At 38.4% G+C, this 27,492-nt stretch overlaps 2 protein-coding genes across 22 annotated transcripts in view, besides 4 other annotated features; one reads left to right on the top strand and one right to left on the bottom strand.

Annotated features, from left to right (window-relative positions):
- Positions 1 to 596: 596 nt before the first annotated feature.
- On the bottom strand, positions 597 to 23,220 carry BROX (BRO1 domain and CAAX motif containing). 20 transcript variants are annotated; one of them, XM_047446853.1, is made up of 15 exons: positions 22,842 to 23,220; positions 22,078 to 22,196; positions 20,515 to 20,639; positions 19,984 to 20,100; positions 16,753 to 16,859; positions 16,425 to 16,521; positions 13,270 to 13,365; positions 11,620 to 11,692; positions 10,229 to 10,334; positions 8,527 to 8,616; positions 6,956 to 7,041; positions 6,083 to 6,164; positions 5,607 to 5,757; positions 4,268 to 4,427; positions 597 to 3,156 (listed from the first exon to the last, which is right to left on the bottom strand). In XM_047446853.1, the coding sequence occupies exons 4-15, from the start codon at positions 20,082 to 20,084 to the stop codon at positions 3,070 to 3,072; spliced, it is 1,236 nt and encodes a 411-aa protein (XP_047302809.1). In that variant the 5' UTR covers positions 20,085 to 20,100; positions 20,515 to 20,639; positions 22,078 to 22,196; positions 22,842 to 23,220; the 3' UTR covers positions 597 to 3,069. The 20 variants fall into 20 exon arrangements, 19 of the variants coding, with proteins under 19 accessions (XP_047302809.1, XP_016855863.1, XP_047302820.1 ...); XM_017000374.3 differs by having other exon boundaries at positions 22,117 to 22,196; XM_047446864.1 differs by lacking the exon at positions 22,842 to 23,220 and adding an exon at positions 22,368 to 22,409.
- Positions 16,230 to 16,399: an enhancer, noted in NCBI's record as "experimental_5205 CRE fragment used in MPRA reporter constructs". NCBI's record gives its function as "activates a minimal promoter by MPRAs in K562 erythroleukemia cells, with activity observed for both the introgressed and non-introgressed 1:222892812 variant alleles {active_cell/tissue: K562}" and the evidence as "EXISTENCE:reporter gene assay evidence [ECO:0000049][PMID:34662402]".
- Positions 22,023 to 22,242: an enhancer, noted in NCBI's record as "active region_2582". NCBI's record gives its function as "activates an Ori minimal core promoter by ATAC-STARR-seq in GM12878 lymphoblastoid cells {active_cell/tissue: GM12878}" and the evidence as "EXISTENCE:reporter gene assay evidence [ECO:0000049][PMID:35858748]".
- Positions 22,611 to 23,525: an enhancer, noted in NCBI's record as "OCT4-NANOG-H3K27ac hESC enhancer chr1:222885601-222886515 (GRCh37/hg19 assembly coordinates)". NCBI's record gives its function as "activates a minimal SCP1, AML or CMV promoter by ChIP-STARR-seq in naive and primed H9 embryonic stem cells {active_cell/tissue: H9 hESC(naive and primed)}" and the evidence as "EXISTENCE:reporter gene assay evidence [ECO:0000049][PMID:30033119]".
- Positions 23,193 to 23,412: a silencer, noted in NCBI's record as "silent region_1835". NCBI's record gives its function as "represses an Ori minimal core promoter by ATAC-STARR-seq in GM12878 lymphoblastoid cells {active_cell/tissue: GM12878}" and the evidence as "EXISTENCE:reporter gene assay evidence [ECO:0000049][PMID:35858748]".
- AIDA (axin interactor, dorsalization associated) overlaps positions 23,293 to 27,492 on the top strand; it is a 44,479-nt gene continuing 40,279 nt past the window's right edge. For both annotated transcript variants that reach the window (NM_022831.4, XM_047428100.1), the window contains exon 1: positions 23,293 to 23,576. In NM_022831.4, coding sequence (NP_073742.2) covers positions 23,467 to 23,576 — 110 coding nt within the window. In that variant the 5' untranslated portion in view covers positions 23,293 to 23,466. The remainder of the gene's footprint in view (positions 23,577 to 27,492) is intronic.

Genomic DNA, 27,492 nt, shown 5'->3' with positions numbered 1-27,492 from the left:
GCTGCCTCAAGTTTGCAAGGAATAGAGTTTTCTACAGATTATTGTACAGCGATAATGATACACTCTTTAGCTTAGCGTACCATAGTACAAATACTGTATCATGTTGGCTATTACTAAGCACGAGACATAAACAGGCCAATCAAAATCCTTTGAGATTAAGAAGTGATAGGTGCCAATAAACATAAGTAGAAACTGAACAAGGAGCGTTGAATATTTAATGAACCCATGAAGCATAAAACAATTGATGCAAATGTTTGTCATTTTATTTTTTTTGAGACAGGGCCTCACTGTGTCGCCCAGGCTGGAGTGCAGTGGCATGACTGTGGTTCACTGCACGTGCCACCATACCCAGCTAATTTTTTATTTTTTACAGAGACAGGGTTTCACCACGTTGTCCAGGCTGGTCTCAACTCCTGGGCTCAAGCAATCTTCCTGCCCAAGCCTCCTAAAATGCTAGGATTATAGGCGTAAGCCACCATGCCTGGTTATCTGTCATTTTAAAACATTACTGTGAAGAATAATTTTGCACTGTTTTAACTGCTACTGGCTTAGTAAGTATAAAAATATTTGTCGAAAAACAAAAGATCTCAATGAAATTGTAAGTAAAATTACTTTTATTTTCATAAATAAAAAGACAACCCATTATACACTTTTAGTTGAAGTAACATGTTAGTTGTCACTGCCTAGTATGAAATCCATGTAATAGTTAACAAACAGTTACACCTCTCTATAACCTTCATGCAACTTCTATACATTTGATAATTCCCCAAAATTTCCAACATTTCAAAAAACATTATATATAATGGGATACTTTAGTCACAAAGTGTCACCTTTGCTGAGTCAACAAAATATTTATATGCTCATGTCAAAGATGCCTACTGATGTAAAGTAATACCAGTATTGCTGCATTTTACAGAAGCACTGAGCATATTACATTTTCCATTTCGTATATGGTAGTATCATCCCCAAAAATGTCAATGTGAAAATTTAGTAAGTAGATTAATAAGCACAAGTACCTAAAAGAAACAGGTCCCACAGCCACAGAGTAGAGAGCTGGCATCAAGTACTGTTTAAAGTTTTGTCAGTAAGTGGCACACAACAAACAGACAAGTGATTCTGTAATAAAGACAACATAAAATACAGGGAGATTTAATAAGTGTTTTTTCCATAGATATTGAAATAAAATTAAATGTCTGTTTAGTTATTACTCCACTTATTCTGGAAACTGCAGCTTCCAATATCAATATTATACTGCAAGCAGTATTTAGTACTTCTGTATGTTAAGAAAAAAACCTCACTGAATTTATGTACCTTTTTTTAAGGAGTGTAAACTATGATATATGATTTAAGTAATCACTTATTTGAATGCAATATTGATTCAGATAGGCATAATCTATTCATTTTTCATAATGAAATGTATATTCCTATTTCAACACTTTATGCAGATTTTACTTATTTCTTACAGGGCTGCTGTGTGGATTCAATGGCTTATCTATGTAAGTGTCCAGCACAGTATCTGGCACATAGTAAGCTTTTAGTGTATGCTACTTATTTATATTAAGTGAGTCAATCTGTCACTTATAATAGAAAAACTATCTAATGCCTCAGGAGAATAATCAAAAGATAAACCTACAGATGTGTGACTTCTGTTAAAGTATTATGCATCCACTATTTCCCAAATTACTAAACTAATTGTTTAAAATGTTACAATCTATTTTTAAGATCATATTTGTTCTCTATGTTTTTGCTATGGCCTTTGGCCTAAACCAATACAATTCTGACAGGACATTATCAGAAAACCACATAAAAACAATGTACACTGAAATCAGGTAACAAAGGCATCTTACTATAACTTCTTTAATAAAGAAGTAGAGAGTTACCAGTGTAATTCAGGACAACCTACTCATTTAAGTTTAAAGTTTTTTCTTTACATCATGCAATATTTGACTTCAAAAAACATTTTCCATTCTGTCTTCTCTTATATATAAACATTAAGAGCTATTACAAAGTTCTTTCCTCTAAGTAAAAAACCCACTAGAAAAAGATATTTGTAAAAATCATTGCAGGGTTACTGATACTGAATGAAGCACAGGGGTACTGGAACAGGGATAAGTTCTTGGATAAGGTGCCAACATACCTATAAAAGCTGATTTTTGAGTAAATTATTGATTCTAACATATGTAATGGATTTGGTGTGATAATTTTCTGATCTTTAACTATAAGTGACTTTTTATTCTCCACCAGAAAAGATAAATGACTGAGAATGTAAGTCTGCGCTCTGATTAACACAATGGAGAAACGGAAAAACTATCTCTGTTAAAAACTGATTCCTGTCATTCTTCTGATATCAAATAAGAGGAAGGAAAATAAACTTTTTGTGTGTAGATAGAAAAACATACCTGAGGCCAGGTGCAGTGGATCACGCCTGTAATCCCAGCACTTTGGGAGGCCAAGGCGGGCAGATCAGCTGAGGTCAGGAGTTCGAGACCAGCCTGGCCAACATGGTGAAATCACGTCTCTACTAAAAATACAAAAATTATCTGGGTGTAGTGGTGCGTGCCTGTAATCCCAGCTACTCGGGAGGCTGAGGCAGGAGAATCACTTTAATTCAGGAGGTGGAGGGTTGCAGTGAGCCGAGATCATGCCACTGCACTCCAGCCTGGGCAACAGAGGGAGACTCCACCTCAAAAAAAAAAAAAAAAAAAAAGAAAAAAAAAAAAGAAAAAGAAAAAAGAAAAACATACCTGAAACCACATGATTCGGGCCTATACTGACCTGAAACTTATTACTATCCAGAGTTTAACAAAAAGACCCAACCCCCAAATATACCCTTTAGAGGCACAATAAAATCTTTCAAATGTTGTCCTGATTAAAAAGGAGAGTCTGAAAACAAAGCAAGAAACATCTCCGCTGTATTAAAAATTAAGAACAAGTAAGCTGAAGGCAGATAACCCTCTGAATATAATAGTTATTCTACAAGCTTCAGAGAAATCATTTTGAGAAATAAGAACTGAAATTCTGTGGTTTATCTTATTTACTGCTAGAGAAATTCTAAGTGCAAGTTGTATTTTAGGAGATGTAGCACCCAGTGTCCTTTTGAGGTTTGATGTCTGGTTCTTTCACAGGTTTCACTTCTTCTTCTGGTTTGGGTTTAGTCTAGGGAGAAAAAAACCACAGTTTAAGTACATAAACTAAGATTGAGAAAACAAACACTAAATCTTTTCCACTTCAGACTTTTAAAAGATGCTATATTAAATTACATAACATGGATACTGACAAAGCTATTTCCAGAAACTACAGACCAATTCATTTTAAGATATAATCAGAAAACAACATTTCAGTAGAGATGAAAACCTAGTTTGGTAGGCAAAAACCAAGCTAATGGTACTCCTACTCCATACTTTTTTCTAAGTGATCTATCTATACATGATAGCTTTAGGAGATATACCTAATGCTAAATGACAAGTTAATGGGTGCAGCACACCAGCATGGCACATGTATACATATGTAACTAACCTGCACATTGTGCACATGTACCCTAAAACTTAAAGTATAATAATAATAATAATTAAGAAAAGAACCCTAAAGCTTAGACATAACTTATGACAGCAATAGGCTATCTCTTAGGGCATTATTTTATAGCTGAACAGAATATAAAGATAGTTATTTTAAGGAATAAATTTTAATATGGAAAGGAAATTATATAAACACAACTCAATCTCAAGAAAGGAGCAATGGCTGTAAAATAATTCTTATTCATTTGTCACAGATCCCTAGTCTTTTGGTAGTTAGACCTCAAAATTTCCACTTAATTTACTATTTGATTTAGAACACCAAGATGTACTTAGATACCAATAAATAAAAGCACTCTTATTTTACACCTGGATTCACAGAATACTGAAATTAGGCCAAATCTGCAAATGCTCTGCAATTTGCTAAAACAAAAACAGAGTATTGCTATAGCAGTATAAACATGGATGATCTTTTCTCCCACATTCTTCTTAAAGGAGGCACTGACAAGTTGTAAAGAGGCAAGATAATGTGTTGAAAAGAATGTCATTATGTAGAAAATCAGAAGACATTTAAGGCCTAGAGGTCTTATCTCTGAGAATGTTCTACCACAGATTACATTAAGCACTATATAACTAGCTAACTTAACATTTAGACAAAGATATGTATCTATTTAGAGAAAAATATCAAAATGCTAACTCTGAATTTTCTTTTAAACTTTTGTGAATGAGAGGGAAAAAAAAAAACAATCTCATACACTGTCATCCTTGGGTCTTTTGGTGAGATCAAATGCAGCCAATGTTTCTGGTGTCCACTGAACACTTGTAGGAGGAAATTCGAAAGGTATAGGCTCTACGAGACCATAATTTGCTTTGAGTTCCAGCTGTGGGGCTTCTGTTGGAATTTTTTGAAAGTAACTGCAAAAAATAATTTAAATAGCAATTCATTCATTTGTTCGTTATTTGAGTGCCTAATATGTTCAAGGTCCTGTTTGGGACAATGACAATTTAATGATGGATAAGAGGTTTTTCTGCCTTATGTAGGAAAGTGAAAAAGTCAAGAAACTTTTGTCAATTACAATGCAATGTAATTGGAGCTACCATGGATGTAGAGTGCCATGAGAATGCAGACAAGGGGAATTAACCCAGAATTAAGTTCAGTGACTCTTTCCGAAGGAAGTGATTAAAGGTGAACTAGGCATGCTTAAGGAAGTGAAAAGCTCATTATGACTAGATGAAGAATATAAGGGGAAGAATGTAAGGACATAAAAGCAGGAAGGAGATTGAGTCTACCCACCTACACAGAAGGTGATCTACAATTTGAACAGCAGTGATTTAATAATGGAAAACCTCTTGAAAAAAAGCAAGAAAAACTGGAGAGAAAATTTATTTTCCTTCTTTATAGGTAGCTGAAACCAGAGTGAGACGAATATGCAAAGGAGGTTGAGAAGATGTATTTAAAACATATGGAGGAAGAATGGCAGGGAAACAGAGTTAAGAGAAAATGAGGACACTGTGAGTGTCCTAATGAAGTTAACTCTACGTTAATAACTCATGTTTTAATTTTAAAGTCTGCTTTTATATATTATCATCCTAAGTAGAATAAAAGGCCCTACACAACTGAAATTTATCACGAATTTAAAGAGAAAATTAACGTGAAACATAAATACTATATATATTTGAGACAGTGTCTCACTCTTGCCCAGGCGGGAGTGCAGTGACTTAATCATGGCTCAGTGCAGCCTTGACTTCCCAGCTTCAGATGATTCTCCCACCTCATCCTGAGTAGCTTGGATTTACAGGCGTGTGCCACCATGCCCAGCTAATTTATTTGTATTTTCTGTAGAGACAGGTTTTTGCCATGTTGCCCAGGCTGGTCTCAAACTCCTGGGCTTAAGGGATTCACCCTCCTTGACCTCCCAGAGTGCTGGGATTACAGTTGTGAGCCACCACGCCTAGCCCATGAGTGAGTGCTATTCAACATAAAACTTTTGGGAATAGAGACTAACAGAAATGATATTACTAAAATATTAATATTTTAATATAATCATAAATCAACATAATATTATTACTAAAGTAATATTAAACTGTACTCACATAAATCCATTTTCTCTCTGACATTTTTCTAGGGTGTTCTTCACAAGGTTTCCAAGTTTCCTAAAGAACAGATGTCCTGAAGGTTTGACTGTTGGTCCAGGTCCTTTGGTTTCTCCATATTCTTTACACAGTGCTTCTGCCTTTGCATACACTGCATGTGAAAGAGATTTAAAGTCTTTTGATTATAATTAACACTGCCTATTTATCCCTACAAGGCTTTAAACTGGAGGTGATAAGACATTTACTGCTCTTTACCTAATATAATAGCAATACCAATAATAATACTGTAAGTAGAAGGTGTGTATTTTCTACAGGTTCTAGGTTTCTGAAACATTTTTTTCTTTTCTCCAATTATGTCACCCATTCCCATTTCCCTTTCATGAACTCAGCCAAAATCTCTTTAAGCATATATTCCCTTTTATGATAAAGTCATTTGTTTTTTAAAGGGGAGTTAATATTCTGGCAGGAAAACTTACATTTTTCTGCTTCTTGGAGAGACCTGATTGCTTCACCGCATTTATCACTAGCCAATAAAGTCTCACCATGGTAACAGTAAGCCTGATGAAATAAACAAATTTTTTATTCATTCTCTCCCTTCAAGATGCTTTCCCCTATTGTTTTATGTATCTATCAGATAAATTAGTACCTTCATACACTGAAGTATCAATGCAATCCCTTACATTTTAGCTCTTCCCCAACCTTTGTTCATAGAAAAGGTGGAAATATGTCAAGTCTTGAGCCCAAACAGCCTTCTAACCATGTACTGAGAAAAAGTTATTTGCTGAAATCTGTATTTAAAATTAGGAAATAGTAGATAAAGGAGGAAATTATTGTGCTAATGCATAGGAAGAAGGAGGTATAAGAAATATTATCTACTCAGACCTGAAAAAGGTTTCTGATGATCTCTCATATGATATTCTAATTAACAAAACAATTAAGTTTGGTGGGTATAACAGACTGATACGTAACTTCCAAAATGATGTTTATTGATGGTTCTTCACTAAGCTAGGTGATATATTGTGTGATATGCCTTAATATTAGAATTAGTAAATATGTTTCTCAATGCACAGGATGAAACAATTGAAAGAATTTCATTAAGTATGCTGCAAGTGGGTTTTCAATCAAACAATAATTCTATTGCTATAATCCACTTCTACAATCCTACATCATCTCTTTCCACCCACTTTAGTTCACAATGGTTGCACTGACTCTCAGTGAACATTTACTGAGAGTTAGCTGTCCATTATTTGTAAAATGCTAATGAAAGACTCTGGTGAGATGAGAGACCTGGCACTCCAAGGGCTGGAGAAACAATAATTTACATTGTTTTTAGCGTTGTGAATACTTACATAAGCTGTGTAGAAACACATCTTCAAGTGAAGATATTTTCTCCATTTGGCAGAATATGCAGGCTCCAAACTGGATAAAGTATGATCTAAAGTTACATTTTAAAAAGCAAAATATAATTTCGCCCTGATTCACTAGAAGACTTTTAGTTCATGTGTTCTGATGATAAAAGCAGAAAGAATGCCATTCAAGTCTAAAACTCAAGAATTTAATTTTTTTTTAAAAACACCTTTACTTGATTTTACCAAATCTATACTTTAAGTTACATAAGATTGGTTAAATACTATGGCAGCTCTTTGATTTGATGGTTAATACAACTTTAAGTTAAAGATAATGATAAAAACAGATTGTGACCAAGAACTTCAAGGTGAATACTGTTTATACCGTTATATTAGCTAATTTAAAAAACTTATATAATATAGCAAAACAAATAGTAGTCTAGTCACTCAAATCAGAAATAGGATACTCTCCTCTCTACCCCCATCACTGAATTTTATGTGAAACACACACACATTCACTCACATATCCTTCTACCAAACATCTCTCAAATCTATTTTTTCCTATTTGCTACGTTGCTGTATTTGCCAAAGCTTTCATCATTTCCTTCATAAACTTTAAGAATTTCTTAAGTGCTAAGTTAAGTTAGCCTATTACTCCTTCATGTAGCAAGCCTATCTCTAATACTGCAACTATAGGGACCTTTCTTAAATTCAAATCCAATCAAGTCAGGCTTTTAATGTAGATACATTCCCAAGTATCTACAGAATGGCTTACAAACCAGTGTTTGATTCCAAGCATGCATACTTTTTCAAACTCTTCTCCTACCACTCATCCTGTGTTTCAGGTCACTGTCTGAAGTTTCCAGAATGTGCTAAGTTCTTTCTTATGTCTGTACTTACTATAGAATTCTACACCCAAACTCTAAAGCTTCCTAGGGAACATAAGACTTTTATTTACACTTCACAATAAGGCTAAAGCATCTTCTTCTAGAGTCCTTCTTTAGCATGCCCAGCTTGTTAAGGTTCCTAATTCGCCGCTGTGATGTCTTACTTCAGGATATAATAACGGGGTTACATGTTTGTCTTCTTCCCTAAACTGCAGATCTTTTCTATTTACCTCTCCTTAGCAACAAAAACAGTAACTATCCCATAAATAAAAACACATGCATGTTTCCTAAATAAGTAAATGAAGAGTAATAGGCTTATCACAGGAGCTGTGTTCTACGCCCAATCTCCCACTTTCTAGCAGTTGAATTATGGGTCATGTTAACTCTCTGGATTTTGGATTCTTGTCTAAAGCATAGTAACTATAAGGTTGTTATAAACACTAAAAAAAAATTTTAAGCAAAAAAGCTGTATAATTTTATGAGACATCACTGGTTTTCCCCTCCATTAGAAGTTATGCAGCATACTAAACATGAACAGCTCTATTTTAAATGCAATAAATAAAATATTACTCCAGTTTTGCAAATAATGACAGAATCTGAGAACCCTTTTGTTTTGTTCCCTATTCAAGATCAAATAAATCTGAAAATCTAAAGACTAAAAATGTAACGACAGAATTAGAAGCTTACCAGCTTTTTGATAGAAATTGGCTGTTTCATACGCCAGTGCAGCAATTAGTCCAGGAGCATGTTTTAGTTCAATTGCTCGAGCAATTGTTACTGTAACCAAACACAATAAAGTGAATCTATAATTAAGCTCACTTTATTCATCCTAAATTCAATTATAATAGCAAAAGACAGTCTGATAATCTCTCTGGGATTTTAATACAGTTTGTTAAACGTTTTAACGTGCAAACTTATAGAAAATGCAAACATTAACAAAAAAACACTGAGTTTGTTGGTTCCAATGCCATTTCTTTAAATAAATCATCAGCAAATTACCAGCTAATCATAGAGAATCACTATTACAAAACAGCATGACCTAACAGCAAATTCTTTTTTTCTGAGACAGGGTCTTGCTGTCACCCAGGATGGAGTGCAGTGGCTTGATCATGGCTTACTGCAGCCTCAAACTCTCAGGCTCAAGTGATCCTGCTGCCTCAGTCTCCTGAGTGGCTGAGACTACACATGCATGCCATGGCACCTGGCTAATTTCTTTTTTTTTTTTTTGAGATGGAGTTTTACTCTTGTTGACCACGCTAGAGTGCAATGGCACGATCTCGGCTCACCACAACCTCCGCCTCCCAGGTTCAAGCGATTCTCCTGCCTCAGCCTCCTGAGTAGCTGGGATTGCAGGCATACGCCACCATGCCCAGCTAATTTTGTATGTTTTAGTGGAGATGGGGTTTCTCCATGTTGGTCAGGCTGGTCTCGAACTCCCAACCTCAGGTGATCTGCCTGCCTCGGCCACCCAAAGTGCTGAGATTACAGGCGTGAGCCACCACCACACCCAGCCAACTGGCTAATTTTTTAAATAACTTTTTGTAGAGATGGAGGTCTTGCCATACTGCCCAGGCTGGTCTCAAACTCCTGGGCTCAAGCAATTCTCCTGCCTCGGCCTCCCAAATTGCTGGGATTACAGGCATAAGCCACCAGCCCAGCCATTTTCAGAGGAAGACTAGAGTTTGAAATAAAGAAAAACGAAAGCCTACAAAGTTTCTTAATTGTTTCACGTTGAGTGTCATTATTACTTGCCATTGAAAGGTGAAGACATTAAGGTAAGCCAACGAGTGAAAGAGAAAAAAGAATGAGCACAGTAGAGAGAAAAGATGAATTAAAGAATTAATGTTGTACTATCAGAAATAACATGAAATAAAAATCCTCTTAAAAAGAGCCATTAAACTGTAAGGCCTTTCCTGCTAACTAAGAGTGAAGGCAAATGCTAAAGGTAAACTTATTCCTCATTCTAAAATTTCTCAAAATCTAAAGCCTGATTCTGGCTAATTCTGATTTTTATTTTAATTAATTAATGGTTTTGAGACAGGGTCTCACACTGTTGCTCAGGGTGAAGTGCAGTGGCACGGTCTTGCCTTACTACAGCTTTGACCTCCCAGGCTCCAGCGATCCTTCCCATCTCAGCCTTGTGGGAAGCTGGGACTACAGGAATGTGCCACCATGCCCAGCTAATTTTTGTATTTTCTGTAGAGCTGGGGTTTTGCCACGTTGCCCAGGCTGTTCTTGAACTCCTGGGCTCAAGTGAGCTGCCCACCTAGACCTCCCAAAGTGCTGGGACTACATGCATAAGCCACAGTGCCCAACTTCTGATTTTTAAAGAGGAATTCAATGACAATATAGACTTTCATTTAAAAAAATCTTACAATATTTAGGATACCTTCTTGAGCTTCAGCCTGACATTGAATAACGTATGCTTCTATGAGTCGTGACTCTAAATCTCTTCCTTTTTCCGCAGGTGTAATGAGTTTTGGGAGATGACTTTCCTGAGAACAACAACAAAAAAGACAAAAAACAAAGCAGCCAAATTTTATTTTAATCCAGTTGTTAGAGATGAAGAAAATGAAAGTTATGAGACATTCAACTGGGAGGCTTAGCAGAAATTCAGAGTATAAACAAAAACTATAAAAACTAACAACAGTAAGCTTATAAATAAAAGTTCCTGTATACTAAAACTCAGCTTTTATAAGAACAAGAAATTCAAGAGCAAAATTTAAGTCATGATAGACTGCTGAGATACGCAAGTCACACTATCATCTTGAAAAATGTTAACTGAAATAGTAACCAAAATTCCTTTTGCGGGATAGCCTGTTCATTCACATTAATAATTAAAGATATAAAGAGGCTGGGTGCAGTGGCTCACACCTGTAATCCCAGCACTTTGGGAGGCCGAGGCAGGTGAATCACGAGGTCAGGAGTTTGAGACCAGCCTGGCAAACATGGTGAAATCCCGTCTCTACTAAAAATACAAAAAATTAGCTGGGCGTGGTGGCAGGCACCTATAATCCCAGCTACTCGGGAGGCTGAGGCAGGAGAATCACTTGAACCGGGAGGCAGAGGTTGCAGTGAGCCAAGATCGCATCACTGCACTCCAGCCCGGGCGACAGTGCAAGACTCTGTCTCAAAGAAAAAAAACCCCACTACAATTCTACATCTAATTCAGGATCAGAGCTTTCTAATCACTATAAAAGCATCTTATATTTTAATATGAAAAAAATCAACACTGGCCTCTAGGAGGCCTTCAATAAAGTGATTTAATTAGAATGACGTAGGGGGACATTGTTTAAAAGACACAATATTCTTTCTCCTAATTCCCATCACATCTCCTGGCAATTTAATACAATTAGAGTGCACTGATTGTCACTCTAAAGTTTTTAGTGAGATACAGAGCATACACTCAGAAGTTCAGTTTTGCAGAATCAGGACTGCTCCTGGTAACTTCTGTGGAGAGCAATGAGGTAGGTAAGAACCATCAATACTTCTACTTTCTTTTCTCCTGTCTTTTCAAAGACACAGAAAAATAAGCAGAGCACTAAAACTTAAGTTTTCTAATTGTAAAAGTCACTGGTGATTTTAAAACAAAAATGGAGACATTTAATATTTAGTAACTGGCTGCACTCATCAATAACATACTTAACATAAGGAAAACAGAACACATAGTACCTTTTTTAATATAATGAAACAATTCTTTCCCCATATCCTCCCAAAAGAAAAATTATTCAAGAATTAAAGCATTAAGAACAAATAATGGTTTTTGTTTGTTTGTTTTACCTTTAAATGTTTAAAAATCCCAGCTGCAATCTTTAGGCTTCGATGAACTTCTTTTGCTTCATCTTCTGTTATACTTAAAGATAGGGGTTACATTAGTTAGAGGATGAATTCCATTTCTGGTATTAAAACACAACAACCAATACATTATTATACATCCAAAGTAGTCATTTATGTTTCTCACTGCTAATTTTCTTCCTTTTAAAAATAAATCTAATTTTGAGGCCAGGCCTGTAATCCTAGCACTTTGGGAGGCCGAGACGGGCAGGTTGCTTGAGGCCAGAAGTTTGAGACCATCCTGGCCAGCAGGGCAAAACCCTAATTAGCTGGGTATGGTGGCAGGCACCTGTAATCCCAGCTACTCGGGAGGCTGAGGCACGAAAATCACTTGAACCCAGGAGGTGGCAGTTGCAGCGAGCCGAGATCATGCCACTGCACTCCAGCCTGGCCTGGCGACAGAGCGGCACTCCATCCCCCCGCCACCAAAAAAATTTAATTTTGACACCTAGAAAAGGAGCAAATGCATATGAAATGTACGTTTATAGGAAATTAGTAAAAACTGTAAAGGATTTTGAATGCTAAGCCAATCAGTATCCCACAAAAAGGTCTTGAAAACAAGTATATGACATAAAGGTAACATTAAGATGGCAAAAGCATGTCAATATGTCTCCAAAAAGAAGATACTACAAATGAAAAAAAAGAGACCCTAACTAGGTGTAAAATCTGCAGCCAGGCATGGTGGATCATGCCTGTAATCCCAGTACTTTGGGAAGCCAAGGCAGGAGAATCACCTGAAGCCAGGAGTTCAAGACCAGCCCAGGAAACATAGTGAGAACTCAACTTTACAAAAAACAAAACAAAATAAAATCCAGACAAAGCCTTATTTTTCCTTACAGACATTTGTATATAAACAAGACAAAATATTACACACTTAATGCATATACATGCTTAAGAAACACATAGATACACAATGGTAGCTATAATCATTACTCTGCTCTTATTTTAATCACCTAATTTACTTTAGAGATAATTTTACATCAGCACATACAATTTGACATCATTTTCAAGTGGTTGCATATTATTCCCACGTATGGATGAACCATAAATTGACAGTTTCCTATTGCTGTATCCACTATAGCTATTATAAAAATTGTATCACCTTTTATAATTATTTAATCCTGCAAAACATCTTTTCACATACTGCTAGCCTTCTGTACTTGTTTTCTGTGAATTGCCTGTTCATGTCCTTTGCTTTTCAATTGATTTGACGGTCTTTCCTTTGCTGATTTATAAGAGTATACGTTATAAAAACAAACAATTTATCATATGAATTGCAATGTTTTTGACCAATCTTGTCATTTGTTTTTTAACTTTGTTTACGGTCCTTTGATGTAGTTAAATAGTCATGCTTTTACTTTATGGGTTCTTGATTTGGGGTCTTACTTAGCAAGACCTTCCATATGACAAGACTATTAAAATTTATTTTACCTCTTAACGCTAGGTGCCATAATTCTGACACTCAAAATACTAACATTACAAGGCAATCCTTCAAACATCCAAAGTGGTACTTTTTAAAATAGATTTTTAAAATAATGAAGCGCCACATACTTGAAAAATAACACAGATGTACACAATCCTCTCCTATTAACTTACTTTTCTTTTCCAGCCAGTCTTGAAGCATATTTGGTATACCATAAAGCTACATTAAATCCCATGGAAATTAATTCAAAAACAGCATCCTGCTGGGCACTGGAATTATAAACATGATCATTAAGTTCTGTCAATTATCCAGACATCACACCATGAAGCCTACTGGATATCCGACTCAAAATTACAAAGAAGTATATGCTAACTGGTATGTATGAGGAAAATGGTTGTGTTTAATATAGATGGGGAGATAAGATGTACAGGTAATTAACTACAAATGGCTAAGTATAATGGTCCAGAAGGTACTATGTACTTAATAATAAGCATGGGAATAGGAGCTCCCAAAGTTTACTGCACATAGAGCAGCTTTTAAAATACAGATTTCTGGGCCTTAATCCCAGAGTCGGAAAGCCTGGGATGGGGCTTAGAATCGTATTTTTAACAAGTACTCAGTCGATTCTCAAAGGTGTGGCTCTTATACAACATTTTAGAAAAATCAAATTCAGAGGAGAGATTGTTTCAGGCTAGAATAATTAAGAAGGTTTAATGGTATATATAAAATCTGAACTGTCCCTGGAAAGATGACTAGAAGGGAAGCAAAAGGACATCCCAGGTGAGGAAACAATGCCATCAAAGCCCAAGAGGAGTATAAAAAATTTTCTGGTAGAAGTGACCCAATGAGCTTGACTGGAGCAGAAGGTATGTAAAAAAGAAATCAAGGAAAAGAAGGGCAAAAAGCAAGCTGAAGGCAAACTGTATAAGATTCTGAATGCCTAGCCAATCAGTATTCCAGAAAAAGGTCCTGAACACAAGTATATTTTATACCTTGTTTCCTTCAGATTCTATTATGAAGTATGAAATAAAGATGGCAAAAGCATATCAAGCAAATAAGATATTCATAACAATATATATTCACTATTGTTCTTAGAAGAACCTGAAAATTTTTTACACATGATCTCATTTATCTCAACTGATGAAGAAAGCAGAATATCCTTATTTTACACACGTAATACTAAGAAACAGAAAAGCTACCCAAAAAGAAGAAACCAGAATTATCATTCTACTTTTTATTTTTTAGTTACTTGTTGCCCCTGTCTTAAGATAAATGGAGATATGGCAACTTTTTAAATGAAAAAAAAAAAAAAAAGTGTTATAAAATATGTAGTAATTAAAAAATAATTTCTAAACTGTCTTTAGTATAGATTATAACATCCAAAAATGACAGTTATGAACAAACTTCTCAAAACAGTTTTATCCTCCTGAAAAAAATTTAATACATAGTTTAATAGCTTATTATTTTCTGCACTGAAACTATCAAATGAATTACATCTGGAGATCTAGTGGACATGTCTAATTTATAACTTTTAAATAATATAACAGTTTGGCTAATTTAGTGAAGTCTCATGAGTAACTCTTTTCCTTTATAATCCTTCATTTAACATGCCTTGTTTCCAAACACTCCATTTCTATGACACCACATAAAAGTAGTAGTCATAGTAACTATAATGGAAAAAATATTTTTCAGAACAGATAAACTCACAACACGATTTCCACTGAGTAAGCAGCAATCAAGAATAAAGTAACTTAGAAGTCTCACTTGTGCTGAATATTTAGTATTAAAGTCTTCATCACATAATTCTTCACTATCTCATAAAACTGCTGAAAAAAGGTTAAATAGTAGCTCACTTTTAAATTTTTTTATTTTTTTGAGATGGACTCTCGGTGTGTCGCCCAGGCTGGAGTGCAGTGGCTTCATCTCAGCTCACTGCAACCTTGGCTTCCTGGGTTCAAGCGATTCTCCTGTCTCAGCCTCCCAAGTAGCTGGGATTATAGGTACCTTCCACCACACGTAGCTAATTTTTGTATTTTTTAGTAGAGACAGTGTTTTACCACGTTGGCCAGGCTGGTCTCAAACTCCTGAACTCAAGTGATCTGCCTGCCTCGGTCTCCCAAAGTGTTGGGATTACAGGCGTGAGCCACTGTGCCCGGCTTTAGCTCACTATTACACAGAATCAAAATGTTGCATGGTCGGAAAAATGCCAAATTTATGAAATGCACACATTATAGAATCTGTCAAAATAATGACAGAGGTTTGATTCTTTAAAAAAGTCTTTTTAATTAAAAAAATTGCTTAATTTTGGATTAAAAACAAATGGGTCACATTAAAAAACAGAAAACAAGGTCTTAGAAAATCTGAGTATCCCAGAATATTATGAATTCGACATAAAATATTGCCAAGGAAGGAAGAAAGGAAATGAACATTTAATGAATGTCTTATAAGCCTAGTACTGTTGTCAGTCACTTCACAAAAATTTTCTTATTTTGCTTCTCACAAAGTACTCTATCTGTAGCCCCAAGATATAGTTGAAGAAGCAGATGTTCATGCAGTAGAAAACCTGGACTTGCATCTAAATATGTACAAACCCAATGTTCATACTCTTTTCGTTGTAATGTACAGTCTGCTCTGGTCTTTCAGCAACCTCCACTCCTTCCTTTCTGTTTTTATAAAATAGTAATTCTAAAGCAAATTGGGATTAAAATATACGGGCATTTCAACAACAAAATGGTGTTGAAAAACAGTAGGTAAGTAAAAAATTAACACCATTGTGATCTGTTTCGTTATAATTAGATCTATTACAAATAGTTTCAAGTGAGTGATAAGAAAGCTCTGAAGAGAAGTTTTTAAAAAGAGTAGAAATAGGGAAGAGAGATAATGAAGAAAATATACTGTGAATCAAGAGTATGGAGTTGGAGAGAAAGAATGAGACAAAGACTAATGGAAGACATGAAGTATCCATCAGCAAAAGAAAAGTAAGGGAAAAACTTAAATTCTGCTCAGCTTGAATGTAGGCACATACGGAATGTCAGTTTGGGTTCTAAATCCTCAAATCATCCTTTGTGTGTTATTAAAGGTCAAGGCTGTTCAACTGTAGTTAACATCTGTATTGATTACCTCAAAAATAGATTTGGTTGGGAGAAACAAATTATATTTTTATTATGTACTAGGATTGAGGTAAAATGCTTTTAATTAATTTCCTGGTAAGAGAAAACGCTGAGCAGACCTGTATTTTTCTTCTCCAAATACAAAGGCTATGAGTTAACCACTGGCTACATAGTTACAAAAACTGGCTCCAATTTAGTATTACTTTAGTGTTGCTTACCTTGGAACCTGTCCTTGCAATGTATCAGTCCACTTGAAATTTTGAATATATCGTAACTTGCTTTCTTGGGTAGATTCATCCAAAGAATTTATGAAACCTATAGAAAAGTACAAGACATTTTAGTTTTAGAAGAATTAGAAGAAATATTGAGTGTTCTGTTTGGAAAAATTTTCAGATTACTTTTCCAGGTGTCTGAATGAAACTTCTTGCTCTTTTCCAAAGAATACAGTCTGGAAGAGTAAACTAATCAAATTTGAAAAGTCAAAGAATTAAATGTAAACTTTTAGACAGTTTTTTAAAAAACCTCAAGTTCATATAAATAACTAACCTTGTAAAAGTGAGAAATATGAATCTGCTGCATTCTTCATCATTTCTGGATTACAGCTCAAATCAGTGAACAGTTCAAGGAGTCGTGCCCTGGATGACCTCAAGTCACTTATAAGAGATACAAAAAGACAGTAAAGTTAGCTGTACTGCAATCAATCTACATAAAAGTGGCTTCCAGGTTTCAATGTAAAAGCTTTAAAACACACACACATACACACACGCACCAGGTTTCAATGTAAAAGCTTTAAAACACACACACGCATGCACATGCCTACCTCCTCTAAGGGATTAACAAATGAATTTAATCAGGACTAAATCTAGAGAAAAAATTTCTAATAACTGTTTTAAAAGTTGTAGTAAAATAAACTCAGACCAATTAAAGGGGCAAATAATGAATTCAATTACATAATAAAAATATATGTCAAGTTTTAATTAAAAACAATCAAACAAATGCATGCACTTAAGATGTGGGGAAAGAAGAATAAAAAACTAAGCAGTTCACAATAAGTTTCTTGAAAAATGAAAATTTATCTGTGTATCATTTTAATATCTCCTTGAAGTTTCTAAATCTGACATAAAACACAAAAATGTGAAAATATACTGCATAAAAATATTTAAAAAATGAAATTACATTACATATCCTTGACATGTAATTCAACATATACATCAAGAATATGTAAAACGTGGCCATCAGTTGTTTTAAAACTGCTCCCTAATCTACATTCTCCTTTACTTCTCTATAGCAATAAATGTTATAGATCCACCTTTTCCTTCTTGAAATTATTTTCTCCTTTGATTCCAATAACACTAAATTTTCCAGGTGCTCCCCTTGTCTCTTTTAAGTTCCTTTTATATTTTTTTCTGTGTCTCCTTTTCATTCCCAACTCCAGAAATGTTCAGTCTTTGGCTTTCTGGTTTTCTCTCTTTTGAGATCTCACCTATTAGTATAGCTTCAACTATATCAATTCCTAGATCTCCATCATTAGCTTTCACTTGGTTCTATTCCAGTTCCAAATCGAATCCAGAAGGCAATTAGCTTAGTGAGGCTTCCGAAATTACAATACATGGGTATGACCAAAGACCCTTGAAATATGTGTAAACCATTAAAGAAAGACTAAATTTAAATGGTAAGCACCAAGAGAGTAGAGGCTGTATATCCAGAATTTGGTAGGTGCCTAGGATAAAGCACATATTCAAAATTACTTGTTGAGTGGAAAAAGAATAACTTTTCAAATATTTTCTTTTGAGATTTAGACTATAAGGTAGCAGTGATGTTTAGAAGAGAGCACAGACTTAATCCTGAATGGTATATCCCTTGAGTCTTATTGATTAGTACTAACTCTAAGGAGGCTTATTCCAAGAAAGTATGTATGTATTGCCAATTACAAACAGCTGACTGAAAATGTGACTGGCTATCTTATGAATTAATCATTGTTTGAGATATTTCTCTAGAAGCTGGAAAGTGATTCAATTCCTGGACTAGGCAGAAATTTGAATCCTTAAAGCCTATTCTGCACTCAAATAGTTGGCTAGCTATTTCCATACTGATGCTTGATCATCACCTACAGCTCAACTTGTAAAGTTATATTCATCTTAAATTACAGAATTTGAGAAAAATGTACCTCAGATATATTTAATTTAGGCTGTTCATTTTATAGATTAGGAATTAGGCCCAAAGAAGTTAAGGGACTTGCCCAATGGTATAGATAAAACAGCTAAGTCGGGACTTGCCTCCAGGAGTCTAGATCAGAGCTTGACAAACTACAAACTATAACCGGTTTTTGTATACCCCGCAGCTTATTTTCATTCAGCCCTCAAACTAAGAATGGTTTTCATATTTTTAAAAGGGTTGTAAAAATGAACGAAGAATAATATGCAACAGTGACTGTATGTGACCACAAAGCCTAAAATAAATACTATGTAGCTTTTAAAAAGTTTGATGACCATTGGTTTAGATTAATAAGCCAATTATCCTATCTTTTGTTGTCATCGCTTCTTCCCATAAAAGCGGCAACTCTTCAGATTTTCCTTTATTGGTACCACCAATGTCTTAATCATCTAGATTCTGTATCTCATATAGACTGAATCCTTTTCAGCCTCCCAAGGCAAATTAGTCAATCAGGTCCATTGACTCCTCCTTCAAAACATCTTTTGCATTTATCTCTTTTGTTTCAGCCAAACTGCTCTACTCACTATCACTAGCACAAAGGTTTTCCTGACAGAAATAACATTCTCCTTTCCCCTCTGACAATCTAAATCAAGAATACTCAAATATTTTTTTGGAAAGTGCCAAATAGTAAACATCTCAGGCTTTTCTGGTAATAAGGTATCCACCGGGACTATTCAATTCTGGTGTTGTAGAGGAAAGCAGCCAGAGGCAGCCATACACAGTATGTCAATAAATGTGGGGCTGGCTGTGTTCCAATAAAACTTTATTTATAAAAACAAGCAATGGTCCAAATCCATATGACACAGTTCGCCAACCCCTGATCTAAGCCATACAATTCATTCAAGGCCTATCTCAAGTACTTTTTCCTGTGTGAACACTTTGAAGGCCATTTCAGGTCACAGGGATCTCTCCTTATTCTGAAGTCAAGAAGTTTAATATGTGGCCAATTTAAAATGTCCCTATAGAGCTGGGCATGGTGGCTCACGCCTGTAATCCCAGCACTTTGGGAGGCCAAGGTAGGTGGATCACTTGAGGTCAGGAGTTTGAGACCTGCCTGGCCAACATGGTGAAAACCCGTCTCTACTAAAAATACAAAAATGACCAGGGCGTGGTGGCAGGTGCCTGTAATCCCAGCTACTCGGGAGGCTGAGGCAAAAGAATTGCTTGAACCCAGGAGGCGGAGGTTGCAGTAAGCCGAGATCAAGCCATTGCACTCCAGCCTGGGCGACAAGAGTGAAACTCCATCTCAAAAAATAAAAATAAAAATAAAAATAAAAAATAAAAATGTCCATACACTACTTTGTAGAGTCCCTTGTACTGTTGTAATATACAGATTAACTGTTTTACTGTGATTGCTTTAGCCTCTCTGGGACTCATTTACTGATCTAAAATTAAGGATCCAGGCGTAGAAGACTGCCAAATTTAAATAATCTATGATTTAACTCTTAAATGTCATTTATAAATTTATAACAAACTTAGAAACAGTGTGTTACATATTTCTGTATTGCCATGGAACCAAAAAAAGTACCTTGCATCTAAGAGTGGTTCAATCAATAAACTTACTTGCATATTTTTGAAGCAGAAGGGCCAGTGACTACACCATAGTAATTAAAAGACACAGGAGCTGTGGCTTTTAATGGGTTCCTATGAAACCAATGGGTCATTTTCTCCAGATGTTTTCTATAGACAAAAAAGTAAAAAATATACAAAAATTAAATATAAAATATTTAATAAACAAGGTAAATAGCATAACAATTTATTTCAATAGTATAAAAATTTAATTCGAAAATTAGCCTGGCTAAATTTTGTTATTTTTTTAGTAGAGACGGGGTTTCACCATGTTGGCCAGGCTGGTCTCAAACTCTTGACCTCAAGTGATCCACCCGCCTTGGCCTCCCAAAGTGTTGGGATTACAGGCGTGAGCCACCGCGCCCGGCCTCAGGTTATGTTTTGTCTATTTATGGTGGTCTATGTTCAGATCAGGCCTATAAAAAAAAGCAGAAGAGCATTTGAAAATCTGCCCACAATAACTTCAATGTTAACATACATATATAGGAGCAGTAATGTTTAAACTGTAATATACATAAAAATCACCTGGGGGTGGGTGGTTTTGTCCAATGCAGGCTCTAATTCAATAGCCTGGGGCAGGACCTGAGATGCTGATGCTGCTGGTCCCCAGACACTTTTGAATAGCAAAGTACTAGATTTTGGTTGGACAACTGCAAGTAAAAAGGGCACAGGACCAGATGAACGTAATTTCCAAAACGGGTTCAAATGGTAACCCTGATTATATCGCTAAGGCTACTTGTAATACGTTTTAAGTTAACTGCTGTATTTCCGACATATTGCTGACAACAGTGGATTGGTTATAGCATGTGTTCTACAATAAAATGTACTTTCCAAAAAATACCTAAAGAATATTTTTAAAATAAAAATGTAATACAATACTTGATCAATAAATTCTATTATAAAATGAAAACATTGGGCTGGGCATGGTGGCTCATGCCTGTAATCTCAGCAGTTTGGAAGGCCGAGGTGGGTGGATCGCTTGAGCTCAGGAATTTGAGACTAGCTTGGGCAACATGGTGAGACCCGGTCTCTACAAAAATCAGCCGGGGATGGTAGCCACGCCTGTGGTTCTAGCTACTGGGAAGACTGAGGAGGGAGGATCCCCTGAGTCCAGGAGACGTAGGCTGCAGTGAGCCCTGATCTCCCCATGGCACTCCAGCCTGGGCGACAGGGCAAGATCCTATCTCAAAAAAGGAAAAAGGAAAAAAAAAACAAAAAACAAAAACTTGGAACACCACCTAAGTGAGATGCCAACTTAAAAAAAAAATTAAGTTCCATGCCTTCTACTTAAAAAAAAAAAAACGCGCGGTGGCTCACGCCTGTAATCCCAGCACTTTGGGAGGCCGAGGCGGGCAGATCACAAGGTCAGGAGATCGAGACCATCCTGGCTAACACGGTGACTCTACTAAAAGTACAAAAAAAAAATTAGCCGGGCATGGTGGCGGTCGCCTGTAGTCCCAGCTACTTGGGAGGCTGAGGCAGGAGAACCCAGGAGGCGGAGCTTGCAGTGAGCCGAGATGGCACCACTGCACTCCAGCCTGGGCGACAGAGGGAGACTCCGTCTCAAAAAAAAAAAAAAAAAAAAGCAGCATGTCTTGTCTAAATGTCCTTGGGTAGGTAGTGCAGCAGATAATAAGGAGAAAGCCCAGGCGAAGACCTAAACATGGCAATTAGATTCCAGGAAGTAACTGAGAAAAAATTCTGATAAGGTTCATTTAATTTGAAGGCACTAAAAAATTCTGACAATCGACTTTTCCTAGTATTAGAAAATAATGGTGGCTGTACAGTGTATGAAATGCCTACATTAAGTGCTTCCTTTATGCTATTTATTCATGACAAAGCTGGTTTTGAGGAGCACCACATACTTAATGAATAGAGAATACAGTGTGTACCCAACGAAAAACTGAGCAGGTTTATTTAGGACTCAAAACATTTAACGAGTTATTTCAGAAAATATCATCTTCTACACATCTTCCATATAAATTCCGATAGCCTAATACAGCATCTATGTGCCTACAAATAATATCACACTCAGCACTTGAGGCTGCGAAATCTTCCACAAATACTTCTTTTAATGCGGCCTCCTACTTCCTGGATGAAAATGTCTGAAGTTTTGCGAATCTTTACTTCAGGAAAGAAGAGGGTTTCTGCCCCTGCCCCATCTTCTCCCCTTCTGCGACCCGGCGGTCTTCAGTTTTCGGGAGTTCCTAGGGTGGGATAGAAGAACGACACACCCACCCGCAGGGACAAGGGTGCCTTTAGAGCCACCAATACAACATTCGGATCGAAGCTGTAAGCTAACACACTTCCACAAGAGGACTCCCGCTCCTAACAAGGGACCCCCACCCCGGAAGCCCCGAGTCCCCAGAGGAACCTACCTGAGCGCCGCCCCCGAGCTCTGAGCGCCCACTTCCTGTTTACCACCCAGCCTCTTCCTCCCGTGCCCAGTCCCGTTCGAGGCAGCGGGCGGCGACCGTGCGCACGCGCCAACACTTGAGTTCCCCTCTTTCCAAACAGGCATTTTTGTGGAAAGCCGATACTGTCAACCCGGGAGAGGTGGCCAGACAACGGCCGAACGAACCCCAGTTTAGCTTGTATTATAAGCTCTCCAATGACCAATGGAGATGCGGGGCAAGGGGATTCAGCGGATCTAGCTGTTAATGCCACTGATTTGTGGTGACCAATATGGATTTTCTTTCTGTCGTTTGTTTCAAGGCACTAGAAGGAGACTTTTGGTCCACTGTCCAGGGGTCTATGGAGACTAATGTAAAAGGGGGTGATCCTATTGCTTGAGACTCCGGGGAAGTAGCGGGGGATATTACTGAGAAACACCCATCCTCTGACATACTTACCAAATTTCTCAGAGTCGGTTCAGCAGTTCTTCTAAGGGAAGAAGGGCAATATATCGGAGTCCACAAGCGAGAAAAAGAGGGAGTCGGAGAACCGAGACTACAGAACCAGGGTGACGGAAAACCAGGACGGCGCCAAGCCGGAGTCACGTGACCCGGCGGCCATGATAGCTACCGAGGCGGTAGTGCGCGCAGCTCAGGGGCGGGTATTGCCGCGGCGTTGCAGTCCCCTCAAAACGCTTCGTTCATCATCCCTTTCTAACTTCTCCCTCGGCCTTCCTTTTGAGCTATGGTCTTTTTCCCAGACAGGAAGAGAAGAGTTGCCCCTACCTCCGGAGCCGAGGGAGAATGCCGCAATAGCGATGGCGGCCCTCGGCGCAGTGGGGCGGCCTCAACCTAACCCGGGGCGGGGCCTCGGGGGCGGGGTCTCGGCGGGGCGGTCGCTTTGGAGCCGCAAAGTTTGGCTGTGGCGGCAAATGGGCTTGGGCGGCTCCTCGGCGGGTGGCGGTGGTGGCCGTAGCGGTTCCTCCTGGCCCTGTTAATGTCGGGGCCAGGCCGGGGGAGGATGGCGCCCTAGAACCCGGCCTTGCTGGGGTAGGGGCGGGAGGGGACGGGGTGGGGACCGGCCATGTCGGAGGTGACCCGGAGTCTGCTGCAGCGCTGGGGCGCCAGTTTTAGGAGAGGCGCCGACTTCGACTCTTGGGGCCAGCTGGTGGAGGCGATAGACGAGTATCAGATGTGAGTGACTAACCGCGGGAGCAGGCCAGACCGGCTCCAGTCGTGCGCCTCTCCCTTGTTTCTGTCGGTGTCTCTCATCACCGTATCTGCAGCCAAGGCTTCTCAGGGTGGGGCTCCGCAGGCACTGGGGCTGAGATCCCTCGCCACCAGCCCCAGCGAGGCTGCTCTAGGGACAACGGCTCCGCTCTCTGGGGTGACTCGCCTTCTTCCCTCTCCGCCTCCGCAGGGACAGTTCCATTCAACAGGTAGCCCTTCTTTCCTGGGGCGCAGGCCCCAGCAGGCTATCTGCTTAGTTCCTTTCCACCGTCTCGCGGGTCCCCCACTTGGCAGTCAGTTTCCTTTCCTCCTCCTCTCCCAGGTTGCTTTTCCTCGATTTCCTTTTGAAATTCTCTGAGGAATACTTGTGTGTTCTCCGCCCACGTTCCAAGGATGAGTGGCCTTGCTCTGTGTGTGTCTTCCTTCTTCCATGCGTAGGAAAGGAGGGAACTGTTTGCGATTGAGGGGATGGGGGGGAGCCCAGGAAGCAACGAGGGCCAGGGATACCTCTTCTGCCAAAAGAAGGGTCTCCTCTCGCGCTCCTTCTCCACCCCTCTTTCTGGTGAGCCGTGTTTTCAGAATTCCACCTCGATTTCGTTTCGGTTTCTGGGACTGTTATTTGGTAGGCTGTGAGTCCCACCCACCCCCTCGCTCGGTTGCCTTGGGTGGAGTCCGCGCAGGATGTGAACCGAAGAGAGCAAAATGTGAATTAATGGACCACGCACAGGAGCTCCACGCCCTCCTTGGATCCCTCCTCCTTTTCCTGTATATAATGTATAGCCGCAGGGTACAAGTGAGTACCAGTTTCCTTGAGCAACCTAAGACCAATTTCTTGCCCTTTCTGGTTTCCACAGAAAACTTCAGGGTTGTCTTAAAAAATAAAAGACAAGATTTATATACACATAAAACCTTGCTTAGGTTTTTGCACATTTTACTGAACTTAAGAACTGTCTGCCAAAATGCTATTGTTTGCAAACTCGCCATTAATTATTCTCTGTTTAAAGCAAGTTATTGTTTGAGATTTCACTGAGTATGAAACCACGTATGAGTAGAATACCCCCGGCCTCCCCCACCCCCCATCCGCCCCCGACACACAACGATTTCTGGCAAGAATATACGCTTGGTACTTGGAAGATCTAAACTCTTATCGTCTCCCCGCAATAGTTATTTGTTTTTATCTATTAAGATAATTTAAATGTGTAGGTACTGACTTTGAATCGCCTGTAGCTTCAAAAAGCTCTGACAAAAACCCGTGCTCTGAGCCATTTTGCGATGTGTAACAACTACTAGCATTTGTTTTGCACTTTCACATGATTTCATTTGCTCTTGCAATAACCCAGTGAGAATATAATTATTCTCATTTTACGAAATGAGGAAAACTGAAGCTCAGGTTAAACAGATTACTCAGGTCACAAGCTGATACCACTGAAATCTGGGATTTAAAAAAGAAAATCCAAATCCTGTCTCTACTACAGAGTGCTTAAGATGTACTGAGAGAGTAATTCTGTAAGTGAATTAGACAAATGATAAGATTTTCTTTATTACTGGAGAACACACCCTTCCATACTGTAGCCAATTAGTAAGCACCTATGTATACCCATTCTGTATATTAACTAATATTGCATAGTTTGAAATAGAAAGCCATCTCTTACTTGTGAGGTGGTGAGACCTAGCAGCTGTTGACACTGGGCAGCCGACTTCACAATGGAAAGTGAAGAATACCATGTCCAATTGAAATTACAAAGGAAAATTGAATATGCAAGCTGTTTAGTTTGAATTTCTAGGAACATGAAGGTGAGGGTGATAGGCATGTGCAGATCCATTGTTGGACCTCAGTACTAACCATTGAACTTCATGATTCTAGTAGTCCTCAAATTATAAAAACTGCCAGGGTCAAATTTCAGTGAAAACATGTAATGATTGGCTTAAATTCTGTAAACATGTAGGCTACATATAAAATGAGGTCAAGAGTTTAAAATTACCTAATATATCCAGAAATGAATGCAAATTATCTTTTTCATTTGAAATATCTGGGAGGAAAGGCTGCAGCAAAATAGACCAATTGGGGGCCACTATAATGATGTAAACAAGAATTGACAGGATTTAGTTACTGACTGGATGTCGAGGGTGTAGAAGGAGGAAGAGTCTAGGATCGTTGGGATTTCTAATTGGGTAGGCAGCAATCTTATCGCCATACAACACACAGGAGCTGCTTTATGCGAGGGATGTAGGGGGAGAGATAGTGCATATCTGTATTCTCATAATGTAATAATACTGTAGCTTAAACAATTTCATGACTCAACAACTAAGGGTTAGGGATACAAAGATGAATAAAATTTGATTTCTGCCCTCAAAGCACTGAGAAGCCAATGGAAGATTTTAGAGTAACTGGGTGTTGCAATTACGGAAGTATGAAAAGAGTAAGTGCTCCCACATTCCTTGCTATTTCCTGGAACATAGTTCTGCCTTAGGGCTCTCGTATTTTTTTTCTGGGGCACTTTTCCCCCCATTATCTGTTTGGGTCACTTTGTCACCTCCTTCAGGTCTTTGTTCAAATATCCTCAGTGAGGCTGTCTCTGGCCACCCTGTTTAAAATTGCAAAGTCTCTTGTCCAACCCCACTGCCTCTATCTCAGTTTCACACCTCCTGCTCCCCATCCTGCTTCATTTTTTTCATTTTTTTCCATGGTACTTACCACAATCAAAAATATATTTTCTTTTTTTGTTTGTTTTGTTTTTTCTGAGACAGAGTCTTGCTCTGTCACCCAGGCTGGAGTGCAGTGGCGCGATCTCGGCTCACTGCAACCTGTGCCTCCCGGGTTCAAGCAATTCTCCTGCCTCAGCCTCCTGAGTAGCTGAGATTACAGGCGCGCACTACCACGTCCAACTAATTTTTGTATTTTTAGTAGAGACCAGGTTTCACCATCTTGGCCAGGCTGGTCTTGAACTCTTGACCTCGTGATCCACCCACCTCAGCCTCCCAGAGTGTTGAGATTACAGGCATGAGCCACCGTGCCCGGCTACAGTTGAAAATACATTTTCTGTATTTGTTTTGTTTTGTTTACTGTCTTTCCCCACTGTAATGTAAGCTCTTTGAGGGTAAAGTATGGGCTTATGTTGCAGGGTGTTGGGGCGGTGTCTGTTTTGTTCTCTACTGTATACTTAGTGTCCAGAGTAGTACTAGGCTATCCACACGTCATTGTTTGTTTAGATATTATGTAATTATTCTATTGAATGGATGAATTTAGGAGTATGCTATGGGAGCATTAAGGAGTTGATGCCAAAATACTATTGGAAGATTTAAATGAATTCTGTCAAGACTAAAATAGGCATCCGAAGTATTAGATGATCAATTAAAAATAACTGCATTTAGCTATCTGGGGATATGTGGCCCCTAACTTATGGTAGAGTGGCACAGAAACTGTTGCTCAGAATCAGACATTTCACAGGATCAATCCTGAGATATTTATCTAGCACATGGATACTCAATAAATATCTGCTAACTGGTTGGGTGTGGTGGCTCACGGCTGTCATCCTAGCACTGGGAAGCTGAGGCGGGCAGATCACTTGAGGTCAGGAGTTCAAGACCATCCCGGCCAACATGACGAAACCCCCTCTCTACTAAAAATACAAAAACATTAGCCGGGCGTGGTGGCGTGTGCCTGTAGTCCCAGCTGCTCGGGAGGCTGAGGCACAAGAATCGCTCGAACCTGGGAAGTGGAGGTTGCAGTGAGGGGAGATCGTGCCACTGCACTCCAGCCTGGGTGACGGAGTGAGACTCGTCTTAAAAAAACCAATAAATATCTGCTAAGTGAATCAATGAGTCTGAAGACTGGATAATGGCCACTTGTCATTTTTTTTTGAGATGGATTCTCACTCTG

This window comes from Homo sapiens, chromosome 1, assembly GCF_000001405.40.
Source record: "Homo sapiens chromosome 1, GRCh38.p14 Primary Assembly".
NCBI lineage: Eukaryota > Metazoa > Chordata > Mammalia > Primates > Hominidae > Homo > Homo sapiens.
The sequence above is the reverse complement of the archived record's forward strand: the minus strand, read 5'-3'. Positions and strand labels throughout refer to the sequence as shown.

Coding starts and splice junctions, on each gene's coding strand:
- BROX (XM_006711173.5), bottom strand. CDS start 22,151: ATGGGGCAGGGGCAGAAACCCTCTTCTTTCCTGAA. Junction 10,335..11,619: donor GGATTTTTAAACATTTAAAG/GTAAAACAAACA, acceptor TGTTGTTCTCAG/GAAAGTCATCTCCCAAAACT. Junction 7,042..8,526: donor CAATTTCTATCAAAAAGCTG/GTAAGCTTCTAA, acceptor ATGTAACTTTAG/ATCATACTTTATCCAGTTTG.